This window comes from Homo sapiens, chromosome 9 (genome assembly GCF_000001405.40).
Source record: "Homo sapiens chromosome 9, GRCh38.p14 Primary Assembly".
Taxonomy (NCBI): domain Eukaryota; kingdom Metazoa; phylum Chordata; class Mammalia; order Primates; family Hominidae; genus Homo; species Homo sapiens.
The window spans coordinates 115,284,177-115,298,056 of record NC_000009.12 but is presented as its reverse complement, the minus strand read 5'-3'; the positions used below and the strand labels follow the sequence as shown (position 1 = coordinate 115,298,056).

The 13,880-nt window shown below is 40.6% G+C and overlaps 1 long non-coding RNA gene across 1 annotated transcript in view; it reads right to left on the bottom strand.

Annotated features, from left to right (window-relative positions):
- Positions 1–13,880, bottom strand: part of DELEC1 (deleted in esophageal cancer 1) — a 260,827-nt gene that overhangs the window by 104,588 nt on the left and 142,359 nt on the right. The window contains exon 3 of the long non-coding RNA NR_163556.2: positions 6,121–6,275. This is a non-coding gene — a long non-coding RNA (deleted in esophageal cancer 1). The remainder of the gene's footprint in view (positions 1–6,120; positions 6,276–13,880) is intronic.

Below are 13,880 nucleotides of genomic sequence, written 5' to 3'. Positions count from 1 at the left end.
TTTTTTTTTTGAGACGGAGTCTCACTCTGTCGCCCAGGCTGGAGTGCAATGGCACGATCTCCACTCACTGCAACCTCCACTTCCCAGGTTCAAGCAATTTCCAGCTAATTTTTGTATTTTTAGTAGAGACAGGGTTTCACCATGTTGGCCAGGCTGGTCTCAAACTCCTGACCTCAAGTGACCTGCCTGCCTTGGCCTCCCAAAGTGCTAGAATTATAGGCATGAGCCTCCTGGCCAAGCCTTTTTTAAAAAAATGAAAATACCTAGTATTGAGGATGATAGAGAGAAACAAGTACGTTCATGCAGATGGTAAGGATTCAATTCAGTTACCCTTCTGGAGGGTGACTTGAAAACATCTAGAAAAATCTAGAAAAGAGTGTACACTTTGACATGGCAACTCTACTTCTGGGAATATCCCAAGCCAGGTGTCAGCAAACCATGGCCCACAGACTGAATGCAGCCCGCTAACTTTTTGTAAACAGAGTTTTTGTTTGAAACATAGTAACATCCATGCTGTTGCTCAATGTACATGGCAGTGGCAAAGCTGTGTAGTTACAATAGAGATTATGTGGCCCACAAAGCCCAAAATGTTTATTTAATCTGCATCTTTCCACAAAGTTTGCTTATCCATGACAAAGAGTTATGCAAATGTCACTTGGCTACTGCTGATTCAGGTTCCTTGCATGGGCCATCCATGTGCTTTCTCAGAGGATAGGGCTTCCACTCCCTCAATGCCAAGCTTGTGGCTGCAATGTTCCTAGGTTTTCAGGCCAGAGACCTACAAGCTTAGCTTGCTCAGCTCCATCCAGAGCCAAAAGGCAAGCCCACCAAGGAGTGCTGTGCCAGAGGCAGTGGCTCAATCACCTCCTGCCAGTAATGAATCTTCTCCTCCACCCTGAATACTTTTCTCTTCTTCCCTGAACTCTTTGAGAGAATGTGGTTCACTACAACAGAGGCATAAGAATTGTGAAGCTTATTTCCCTAACAAGGAGAACCAATTGCCTCTGGTGATAGACCTCTACATCCGTTTTGGGAAAGAGAGCCACATTCTTGCCTCAAAAGTGAATCATTCTCCCAAGAATGACCATGGTAGTGTAGTGTCTGGCTCTCTCTTCACTAGAAGAAAATAAGTAAATATTTAATATAGCACCCTGCTGTTATGTATTCATTTTATGACTGAAAGAAAACAATAAAGCAATTTCAAAAGAAAAAAGCCTAGTTCACAGGTGTTTTCTGAACCCGTTATTACACAAACAACTAGATTTAATAAAATCGAATGTGCTTCATAGATACAAGGTATAATTATTGTTAATAAAATTCAATAATTTCAAAACAATGAGTGGGAGTTGTTTACATTGCAAAAATTGGCTTTATAACCTGCCATAAATTTCTTTTAAATAATTAAGCCCACACAAAACCGTATTCCACAAAAGGGATAAACCACATATATAAATAATTGTATATGTATGCATTATTTTCCCCCAAGGATAGCTTATTAAACTTTAATGAACCCTAAAACAGATAAAACCAAAAATGTCCTTTTTAACACAGCCCTAGTTACTAGGTATTCCCAGATTTACTCAACTAGCCCACGGGACATCTCAGAAAGACCCTTAGGTTTTGCAGAATTAGCAAAAGAAAGGAATTGCCAGTTCTGTACATTATGGAAAGTTGGCAATGGAAGAAAACAGGGAACATTCTGAGCCCATTCCTAATTTTTCGGATCAGGAACTGATTACAAAAGAAAAGAAATACCTCACCCACAGTCATAGAGAGCTCATGAATGGATCATCTACCACAAAGAGTATGGATCCAAGAATGGATCATCTACCTCCAAGAATAAATTCTTCTTTCCCTCCTCCCCTCTGTCCCCCGCAAAAAATCAGAAACATGCCTGAAGATGTAAAGTGAAATTCACCTGGAGAAGACACAGAAGCTGTTAGGTTCACGGAGGGGAACTACCTGACTCTCTGAAAAGGCTGTAAGAGACCAGGTCATCCTCCACCAAGCGGCAGGCAGCCTGCACTCTCAGAGCTGCCAGGACCTCACACTATTCATTACTCCCTTCTGAAGCACTTTCCAGACCTACACTGGACTTGACTTCCTGACAGGTTGTATATTGTTTCCACCTCTGAGCTCAGGGTTCATTTTTCTCTCATTTATGGCCCTGCTTTATCCTCTGGTAAAACATTAGCCATATTTCTCTTGTTTTGCCTGATTCAACCCAGGCTATAAGGCTATATATTGCACACCTTCCCTTTGGGCAGCCCACTAGACTTTTACCTTCTGAGCAGGACTCTGGCAAGACTGAGAGCAACTCTTTCCTACAAGACCAGATTTCTGCACTACACAAAGAAGAGGTTCAGACTCTTCTTGCCTCATTCCTAGGGTACACTCATTTGCTAAATTTTGCCCTCACAGCTAGAAGCGTTGGCATCCTCAACCTCACAACCCGATGATACACCCGAACACACATAAATTTGGGTGTCTCTGACTCCACTGGTGGGATCTGCTTTTATACTAATAATTAATATCACTTGGCACTTACAAAAGATCTGTCAGCTTTGAAAATGTCTCCCAAGTACATATTAATTGAACAGACTTGCCAGCTCAAAATATTTTCACTCTACCTCCCAAGCCTCTGGGTATTTATCTAAGCTACACCCATGCCCCATGTAGAACTTTCAGCATTAACTCTGACTTGAGAAGCTGACAAGAGCTCAGGAAATCCCAGTTTATCAAGCTTGCCGCTTGGACCTCCACAGATTGTCTAAGCCATGTATCTAAGCCTTCAGTAAGGTCCCAAAGGAGGGCTGTTTCCAGGATCCATGAAAAGAAAATTAATTGAGTATTTTGTTATTGTAAGAGATGACGTATATAGAATTTTAAATTCACAATAATTGTGATCCAAAACCCAGAACTCCCACTGGGAAAAATATCTAACCTTGTAGCCCCAGGTATTTCATAGATAAAATAGAGATAATAATACCTAAATTAGTTCTTATGAGAATGAAAGATAAAGAATCTGATGGTGTCATGGTAAATAACTGGCACATAGTAGATAACACTGATTGATCTTTTAATTTTTTTTTTTTTTTTTGAGACAGGTTCTCTGTCACTCAAGCTACAATGCAATATCTCCATCATGGCTCACTGCAGCCTCAACCTCCTGGGCTAAAGTGATCCTCCTACCTCAGCCTCCCAAGGAGCTGGAACTACAGGCACATGCCACCACACTTGGATAATTTTTAATTTTTTTTCTTTTTTTGTAGAAACAGAGTTTCGCCATGTTGCCCAAGCAGGTCTCGAACTCCTGGACTCAAGCAGTCCTCCTGCCTTAGCCTCCCAAAGTGTTGAGGTTACAGGCATGAGCCACTGTATCTGGGCCATTTAATCTTTTACATACTATTAACTTACAAAATTCTGTGAGTCAGGTCTAATTACTACCACCAGTTTAAAGATGGAGAAACTGTGGTATAGAGAGATTAACATGTACCAGACCCCATAGAAATAGGTGGGGTGCTGAGATTGAAGCCTGGACAATCTGGCTCCAGAGCCTGATCTCTGAACCACCATGCTGTCCTGTCCCTTGAGAGTAGTTGGCAGGTATCAGTGCTGCCATAGCATCAGTGAGGATGGCCAAGCCCTTCCGGGATCCAGGTGAGGATGCAGCCTATTGTCTGCTACTCTATGCCTTGCCCTTTGGTGATTTTCTTGAATTTGGAGACATAAAATCTTATGTGGGCTTTATATTTTCTAGTAGTTATAATCATAATAGTAAACAACTATTAGAAAGCATTTTTCTCATAGTTTCTTTGTTTTTTGGTACTTTTTGGTCATTTGTGGAAAGAAAAAACTGGATACAGGCAATCAGAGTTGAGTCTCAGCTCTATCTCTCCTCTTCTACCTCCTCTGTGGAAATTGTTTTCACATTTGTAAAAATGGGGTCATAACATCTTAACTCAAGGGAGTGCTGAAAACGAAAAAGATGATAAGGTTCTTTGTTAACTCAAAAGTTCTCAAAGTTCTTCGCAGTGTTATTTGGGACAACTTCTAACACAGTAATTTACTGACAGAAATGTGAAGTGGACATGAGCATTCCACAAAATTTTAACCTCATGGAAACCTGCATTTATCTAAGCTGCCTGTAAACTGGTCGTTCTGTCTTTTTGTCTTCTTTGGCAGAAATACTGCCATCTTCAAATTGCTCGATTAACCTGTTCGGCAGTAGTGATCATTGCCAGATCCTGTACGCAGCTGCAAAAACATGAAGATGCATAGAAAACAAACCCCATGAGGGAACACCCCACCATATGATAAATGCAATGATGACAGAATTGTTGTTCAGAAAACAGTGATTAACTCTTAGGCCAGAGAAGACTTCACTGAGAAGGCAGACTTCTGGGCTGGATTTTAATGACTGGCAGGTTGGATGATGACTGGGGATGATGGTGAGGGTCCAGGTTCCCAGTGGAAGGAACAGAGGATGGGAAGCCATATAGGAATCAAGCATCATAATGTGATGGGGCAACTGCTGATACTGACACTTTATGATGCTGGGGCAGTGGACACAGCTAGATCTGGAAAGGCCTCATGTGCCAAACTCAGCAGCTTGGAATTACATTTCCTTCTGTATACAGAATGTGCAGAAATGTTATGTTGCCTCTAGATCCTAATAGTTGCTGGCCCCCTAAACCTGGTTCTCTGAGCAAGACACATCTCCCCTCCACTTCCCCTCTGGCATCCCTACCACCACTACCACCCACAAGCTACCTGAAGTACTTATAGCAGCAGAGAGTGGGAGCTGCTCCACAGAGCAATGGAAAAATAAGTTGCTGAAAGGTTTATTTCCCTGCTTGGAATATTTTTACAAAGGAAATCCACAAGGCTTGTCACCACACACTCAACTATTTTTAAGCTTCCTGACCAGATCCTCTAGATAGGCCCTTTGGGGACAGTAAGTAGCGGCAGCGAGGTAGGAGTTGCTCTTGGCTTTGGGTACATTGGGTCTTCTGGGAGCCCTGGGATTTGGTTTGGCCAGAGAACATTTCTGGGGGAGGCAGCAGGAATGAAGTGAAAGCAATCAGCCCCCTTTTCTGTGTGCTTTATTTTTCCATGACCACCAGGAACCCTACCCCTTCACAGAAGCTGCCAAGAGAAATGAGGCTGGAATTTCACCTCCCTCAATACCCCCATGTGATGGATCAGGCCACAGATAAAGGGGCTTTAATTGGTTTTATACCATAAGCTAGACCTGGGTCATGACTCAGCTAAGTAGATTCCTCCTGTTCTCCCACACTGACCAAGGCCTCAACCAGATGGGGATGGTGGGCGGGTGGCTGAAAAGTCAGAAAGGGCAAGGCTGTGGGGGTGACAGGTCATCCTCAGAATTTCTGACAATGGTGCTTCTCAGCTAATGGCTCACAGAGGGGAGGGGAATTCTCAGCTAAAGAGGTCCCAACGCCAGTCCAAATACAAGATAAAGTAAAAACTATCCAGGGTTGTCTGGAAACTAAGGTTGACTTAGTCACATTTTATCTAAATAGTGGTGAAGTGTGGCTGTTTACAAAACATAAGACATGACAATGCATCTATCATGCAAAGCTGGAAGAGTCTTCAGATCAAATTGGTGCAATAATTTCTATTAATAGCTTATCTGCACATTTAACAGGGTTTACGAGGTGCTTGTCACACTGCTTCCTCCAATAACTTGGTTCAGAGTATAACAATGGCATTGTCCTCATTTTACACATGAAGCAACCTATGAGAACATCTGAATGTAGCAAAGGAAATACAAGATACAGCTCTTCTGCATCCTAGACAAGATGTTATAAATATATATGTTACATAGTAAGTGGAAAACTGTTAAAGACTTTGTTAAGTAATAGAACTGCAATGACTAAGATTCCCCTGAAGCTCAGAGAATGAAATAAATTGCCTAATGAAACAAAATCTATAAATAGGATTTCAAACTAAGTCTGTCTGGCACAAAATGTGTGGCTTTTTTTCCTCCTTGCTATAGTGTTCTTCATACTCCTTTACTTCTGTTTACATTCCAACTTAATGTGTGATCCGCCCGCCCGGCATGCTTTTGAAGATTGGAGGGATAGAGGTGCTTACCTGCTCTGGGCATGTTTCTTATCAGCTCTTCCTCTTCATTCCTGTTCCCAGCTCCCAGTCAATTGCTCTGGCCACCTTGCCACTACCCCCAAGGCTGTTCTAGCTGATTTTTTCTGCAAGCCTCACCCACACAAGTCAGTTGTATGCACAAGGATCTGCAATAACAAAAGGACATTATGACACATGAAACAATTTAAAATTAGGGGGCAGGTATTATTATTCTAATAGGTCAGGGGCCATTGCCCTCCTTAGGGAGATATTTCTCTGTCAATCCCTGCTTACCACAGTGTTCTTGGGACCTTCTCTTTCCCCTTGCTTCTCGTCCTCAGTTTCAGGGCCCCAATCAACCATATTTGGTATGTTGGCATTTTGACTAGACAATGAAAATTACCTCACTTTATTAAGCAACCACTTTAGAGTTTTTTGCCGCATTACCTCTCCCTCCAAATCTCCATTTCTATTCAGAAATGAGCAATTTCAATCTGTGACTTTTCTGTAAGAACAAGAAAATCTTTTTCAGAGGCCCCCAGAAAGTGTAACTATTGAGTCCCATCTCTACTCCTAAACCAGTCACTGGCAAAGGGAATGGCCAAGAGACCAAAGAGGATTTTATCCCAGAACAGGGAGCAGAGTTACTCTCCCCTTAACCTGGGGAAGCAGTTACATCTGAAAAAGATTGGAGCAGTACACACAAGAAAATGAGGAGAACACATTTAGTGTATGTATATTTCTCGTTAACTGTTGTAACAATCCACAAATCACAGTAGCTTTGGGTGTTTTCAGCTTTTGACATTACATTTATTTACAGACTTTCTAAGTTCAGAGAAGCAAGTGAACAAAGGCATATGTTGATGATTTTGAGTTTATATAAAGTGAAATATATAAATCCCAATATAATTTGAAAACATACATCTTAGGCATCTTTTATTTTCATGGATAAAAATGACTTTTCTTCCTACAGTTAAACTTTTATGTATCTTACAAAAGTTTCTTACTTACTCAGAGTCTGACATCAGCTAAGTAGCAGTCTTGAATAACTCTCCTCAAGCAGTCATCCAGCCATCTAGACCCCTTCCATCTTATGTTTCTACCATCTCCAAGCCTCCTCTTCCAGCTGCAGGGGTGCAGGAAGGAGTCGAAGAGTTGAGGGGAGTCACACTTGATACTTAACTACCTCCCTCAGAAGTGACCACATTACTTCTACTCTCAGTCCATTGGTCAGAAATAGTCACATGGTCAGCTCAAGTGCAAGGGAGACTGGGAAATGCCAAAGAGCACATGGGTATCAGTAAGCACTAGCAGCTCATGGCACAGTGAATGTCGCACAGAGCCAAGAATGTGCTTCCTTCAGCAAGTGAGTTATCTAATCTCAGTTGCTACCCTTAACAATACAAAAAAAGTGATCAGAAGTTCTGGAGTTACAATCTTAAATCTTCAACTGTTCCATACCAAATATTTAGGCTTGGTTCGATGTACAACACCTGTTCTTCCTTCCTGGCTCAACCCCTTTCCCCAAGCATTTACTTAAGATACAAATGATGATGTGGTGGGCATAAGGTTTTTTTTTTTTTTTTTTTTTTTTTTTTTTTTTTTTGTGTGTGTGTGTGTGTGTGTGTGTGTGTGTGTGTGTGTGTGTGTGTGTTTTCAGCATTGCCTGAAGAAAACACCAAGGGTTAATTTATTTTTCTTATTACTCACCCATCTCCCTTTATCTCTGTTGAGTTTAATACCCCTACACAAGTTATCTCTAACAAATCTTTGTCTCAGGATTCCATCTCACTAAGTTAAGAAAAAATTCCCTAAGCTGTCTTTTTGCAATAAAAACTCTTCCTTTTCATCCTTTTTTCTCTATTTTGGCAGGCAACCAAGAATTATGTCATAGCCTTGTGGTGTGGGTCTCCTTGACTGAGGCTTGCTGGAGATGAAGCTTAGGATGAGGAAATTTGGATGGTTTCCAGCTGAATTCTATGGTTTTCTTCCTGTGGTAGCCATTTGCTTCTAGAAAATTCTAGGGAAATCCAGTGTGGGCTGTGGCTGACAGGAAGTTAAGGGTTCCAATTCTGTTGCCAGTAGAGAGTAGGTCTTGTTGCTTAGCCACAGTTAGTGCGTAGAAAGAAACAGGTCCTGTTGCTTTCTTCAAAGACCCAAATATATTACCAGCTGTCAGTACACATGGGAGGCCTAAGACCAAGAATTAGAAATAGATTGCAAGAAACAGCCTCTAACTGAAATGAGTTTTCCTCTAGTGGACTTTGAATTTTCCAAAATGACATTCTTAATACTTCTCTGTCGTAATTAAAGCTGTCATTTGGCCTCAATATCAGGCTAAAGTTAAGAGTCAAGAGACTTGAATTTTTACCTAGTTCTGCTATGAACTAGTTCTGGGATCTTGAGCAAATAGACCACTCTCTGAGTCTGTTCCATCACTGACTATTAGATGAACTTTAGGGTCCTTTACAATGTAGAGGAACACGTCTAATTTATCTTTGTGTCCCAGCACTTAGCACCTGATCTGTTATGCAATAGTATCCTTAATCACTGTGAGCTGATGAATGAATGAGATCTATTGATTTTTTTTCTTCTTATATCTTCTAATGGAGCAAAATGATCATAAATCATTACATTTCTATTATATAAATTCATGCAGATTCCACATGTTATTCTCATATGGTTGATAGTCATATACATTGTATAATGTAAATAATTTTAACTGCAGATAATTCAGAAGGTTTAATAATTGTGCTTTAAATACAAACTTAATGTGATTCTCACAGTAGAGAGTCTCCATTTCTGCTAGCCTCAGAGTATCACAACCATCTCACACTAATTTTGTCACAAAAATAAAATTAGATTCTTTAGTGTACATACTCACAAAGTAATTTTTCTTTCCTTGAAATAATGTGACTTAAAATACGTAGAGATTGGTTGTATGATTTTTTTTTTTTTTTTAATATGTGGAGTCTTGCTCTGTCGCCCAGGCTGGAGTGCAGCGGCGCCATCTCGGCTCACTGCAAGCTCCACCTCCTGGGTTCACGCCATTCTCCTGCCTCAGTCTCCTGAGTAGCTGGGACTACAGGCGCCCGCCACCACGCCCGGCTATTTTTTTTTTGTATTTTTAGTAGAGATCGGGTTTCACCGTGTTAGCCAGGATGGTCTCGATCTCCTGACCTCATGATCCACCTGTCTCGGCCTCCCAAAGAGCTGGGATTACAGGCGTAATCCCACCGCGCCCGGCGGTTGTTTGATAATTTTATTATGAAAGTTTATAAGGGCTTTATGACTTTCCTAAAATTGAAATGTGCCAACAACTTAATGCAGACAGACCTCACACTTTTCCAGATACTGTCACATCCTATTCAGGAGGTTTCAAAGCACAGATGGATGTTAGACAGAAAGAAAGGGACAGAGAGGAGAGAGAGAGACTTGAGATGAGACAGGAGCAAAGTACATTATCCATCCTGTTGTAAAAGCAGCCTGTGAAATTTAAATGCAGATTTTTAGAAAGCTGGCAAGGCTGCTCTTATAACTTAATTATGGAATCATTTAAGTGCAAATGAGATCCCCAGGTGAAAATTTCATAGAAGACTTTCCTTCACTATCAAATAAAAGTGATGAAGGTAGTTATATTAGTATAAAATATATAGTTATTGTATTAGGCTTAATGTAATTATCTTAGTTTGAGCTGATATAACAGAATACCATAGACTGGGTGGCTTAAACAACAAACATTTATTTCTCACAGTATTGGAGGCTGGAAAGTACATCAAGGTGCCAGCAGATCTGGTGTCCAGTGAGGGATCTCTTCCTAGTTTGCAAACAGCTGTCTTCTTGTATCCTCACATGGAAGGCAGAGATGGATCTCATGACTCCCTGTTTTTAGGAGGGCATTAATTCCATCAGGAAGGCCCTGTCCTCATAACATAATCTAATCCTAATTGCCTCCCAAAGGCCTCACCTCCAAACACCATTACACAGGGAATTAGCATTTTGCAGATGAATTTTAGGCAACACAAAAATTCAACTCATAAGAGTAATAGGCCGGGCGTGGTGGCTCATGCCTGTAATTCCAGCACTTTGGGAGGCTGAGGCAGGAGGATCACTTGAAGCCAAGAGTTTGAGACTAGCCTGGCCAACATGGTAAAATCCCATCTCTACTAAAAATAAAAATTAAAAAAAATTAGCCAAGCATGGTGGCACGCACCTGTAGTCCCAGCTGCTTGAAAGGCTGAGGCATGAGAGTCATTTGAACCCAGGTGGTGGAGGTTGCAGTGAGCCAAGATAATGCCACTACACTACAGCCTGAGTGACAGAGTGAGACTCTGTCTAAAAAAAAGTAATATATTCTAATCCTTAACATTTATGTAACAGTAATGCAAGTTATTATTACCATTACAAATATGATTTGAGAGCTTGCTACTGAAAATTTACACAATCTCACGTGCACTTAATATGTCATCAGAGAACCTAGCTGAAACTGTCCTCCAGTAGTTTTGGCAAGATATTTTTAATTTTAATGATAAACAAATTACTTTTCTAGCTTCTGTAGGAGTGGGTACTCAAATGGATCTTTCAGGGCTTGTTGTGCCTTTGTGTGGGGGAGCAAAGTCCAAAACTTTAATGAAACTTTGTTTCTCAGAGAAAAACAAAATTCCAAGATTCTGTTATATTTTATTTCAAGATAATGTGAAGATAAACTATTCTCTGCATAATAGCATACGATTGGTCCTCCTTGTGGGTAGATGTGCAGCTCTGTAGATTAGTTTCCTTTCTAAGAAAGCCATTTATATGTGTGTGTTTTTCCTTTCTTGGGGAGCTTCATGTTAGTCATGGACTAAATGCAGGGAGATTCATGATAGTAGTGATATATCTTCATATGATCATCGCTTGGGCCAGATAGTTTGCAAATACTTTGCACATTTTAACCCGATTAATCCTTCCCCTACCTTATGAGGCAAGCACTATTATTATCCCCACTCTACAGAGGTGTAAACTAAGACCCATGGAGGTAAATTGTCCAAGGTCACACAGCTGGTAAGTAGCAAAACCTGGATTCGAACTCAGACATCGTGATGGACCTTCTTGCTGGGAAAAGACGAACTGTCTTCTGCAACACAGTGACCCACTGAGAATGGAGGAGCCAGGAGTGGAGGCGTTAAGAAAATAGATTGCCAATTAGAAACCCAGTTAATAGAGATTTACAGTAATACATGTTCTTAGGTGGAGTGATAAATGGTTTAAGGTAGACTCATATTTTCCTAAAATCCATCATAGGGCTTGCAGCAGTTATTAATACTTTTATTCTTCTGGGTACTGAGCACTTGGCCTGTGCTAAGACATTTACATGCATTATCTCATTTATTCCTTGGAACAGTGTGGAGTTTCACTAAAGAAGAAAATCAGAGAAAAGCATAGATAAGCTCTCTGGGGCATAGGCTTCTTGTACAAAAGAGAAGAATCCAGGGAATTCAGACACAGGTTGGGAAGCTAAGTGTAAGGTGGATAGAGGTAAAAAGAGGTGATCAGGTTGGAAAAGAGGTTCTTGTCAGATTCTGGCAACATGGATCTTAGTAGTCCTGACACGTTTTTAAGGACAGAACTGAGCCTCCAAAATTGACCAAACTTTTCAACCAAATTTTTCACATACTGGTCAGGTAAGTTTGGCCAACTCCATGGAAGAGGAGAATACTTTCAGGGATGGTTGTCATGGACAGTCTTGTCATCATTACCAGAGGTGACAATGAACCATCCACCCAATTTCATTTTCTTGCCTCCTAATATGGAGGCTTACTGTAAGCCTCTTGAGAGAAAAGACACAAAGAAAGAAATATAAGAAGATCTACACTAAATTAGAAAATTGAAATAAGAATAGGAAGATTACAAGAACTCTGTCATCCCTCCACTAAAATAACAGCTGTATTTAATTTCATTCCAGGATAAATCTGGTATTGTGAAAATTTTAGATCCTAATGTCCAAAATTTAATTCACTTTAGATATTTTTAGTAACCTATGAATCATAGTTGAAAAGATGGAATAATAAAATTTAAATTTAACAAACAAAAATGACACTCAAGTGATTCCTTTACTGGGCTACACTTCCTGTACATATTTGAAAAGAGACAAATGTAATTATTTTCCCTCTTTTAGGTATCATGCAAATATATGTATGTATGTATGTATCTATCTATCCATCCATCCATCCATCTACCTCCCTGCTATGTATCTATATAAATGCATATGAAAAAATATACACATATATTTATATGCATGTATTCATACACACACACACACACACACACACACACACACACATATATATGCTAAAGTACATACTGCTAAAAGGATCAGAGTCAGATCAGCTAGGTTCCTCCCTTTAAGGGCAGCAGGCAATGCTCTGGTATCCAAAGAGTTTTGGGGCAGAGGGGAAGAAAAAGAGTGGGGGAAAAAACCCAGTGACAAAACTTCCACCGCAGCAACAATAAGCCATATTAGAATGTTTGGAGAACGCTGAGATTTAGAAAATAAGGCTGTCTGGGCATGGTGGCTCACACCTATAATCCTAGCACTTTGGGAGGCTGAGGCAGGCAGATTGCTTGAGCACAGGAGTTTGAGACCATCCTAGGCAACATGGTGAGACCCCGTCTCAACTGAAAATACAAAAAATTGCCAGGCCTGGTGGTTGGTGCATGCGTGTGGTCCCAGCTAGTTGAGAGACTGAGGTGGGAGGATCACTTGAACCCAGTGGATGGAGGTTGCAGTGAGCTGAGATTGCGCCATTGTATCCAGCCTTGGTGATAGAGCGAGATCCTGTCTCAAAACAAAACAAAAAGACAATAAACCCATCGTGTTTGCATCTCAGAATATCAGCCTCTTGTAAGGTAACCTGGGCTTCCAAATTCTTACATAGAGAAGAACATTGGCCACTCAGCATCATTTTAGACAGACTGGTTTTGGCCTGTTTTTATGAGCTCCACACCTTCCCAGGGCACTTAACTGCAAGTTCTATGAACTTCTCCTGTTGGTGACAAGCTGTGTTTTCCTGCTGCATTCCTCTACATAACAACCCCAGCAAGCTATTGCTAAAGGGTTTTAAGTTTAGAGTTCTCTTGTGAATCCCAGAGTCACTGCCCACCTTCCATAAGCTAGACACTTCATATAAGTATTAAGAGTAATAACAAGCTTTGTCAGTATAGAAAAGATACAGAAAGAGGCCTTTATGACTCAGAGACTCCATTACCTTCCCAAAATTAAAGTAAGAAAACCTACACTTTTTAATAAGGCACACAAGGCTTTCCTGATCTGCTCCCTCACATACCTACACTTATCTTTCCAAATACATCTCTTGTAATTCCCACATATACCCATTCTGTCTTCCAGCCAATCTGGGCAACTGATATTTTCCTGAATATGTTATGCCTTCACGTGCTTCCTGTCTCTTCACAGATGTTCCTCTGCCTAGAGTGGGTCTCCCTGCCCATCACTCACTTGGCTAACATCTGTACCTTTTCAGCCCTTGGCTCAGGTGTATCATCTACTCTTGGAAGTATTTTTTATTCCACACACACCTACCTCCAAATTGGCTTCGTCTTGATTCTTCCATGTTCTTTCATTTTCTTCCTCTATCATCCCATGGAAAACATCTATTACAAAATTTAGACTAGCTGACCCTGTATTATAGAATTTAAAACTTTCACCATTGATTTCTTTCTCTGTCTCCTCTGCAAGACTTGATGGACAGAACATTTTTTTATTTTATTTTATT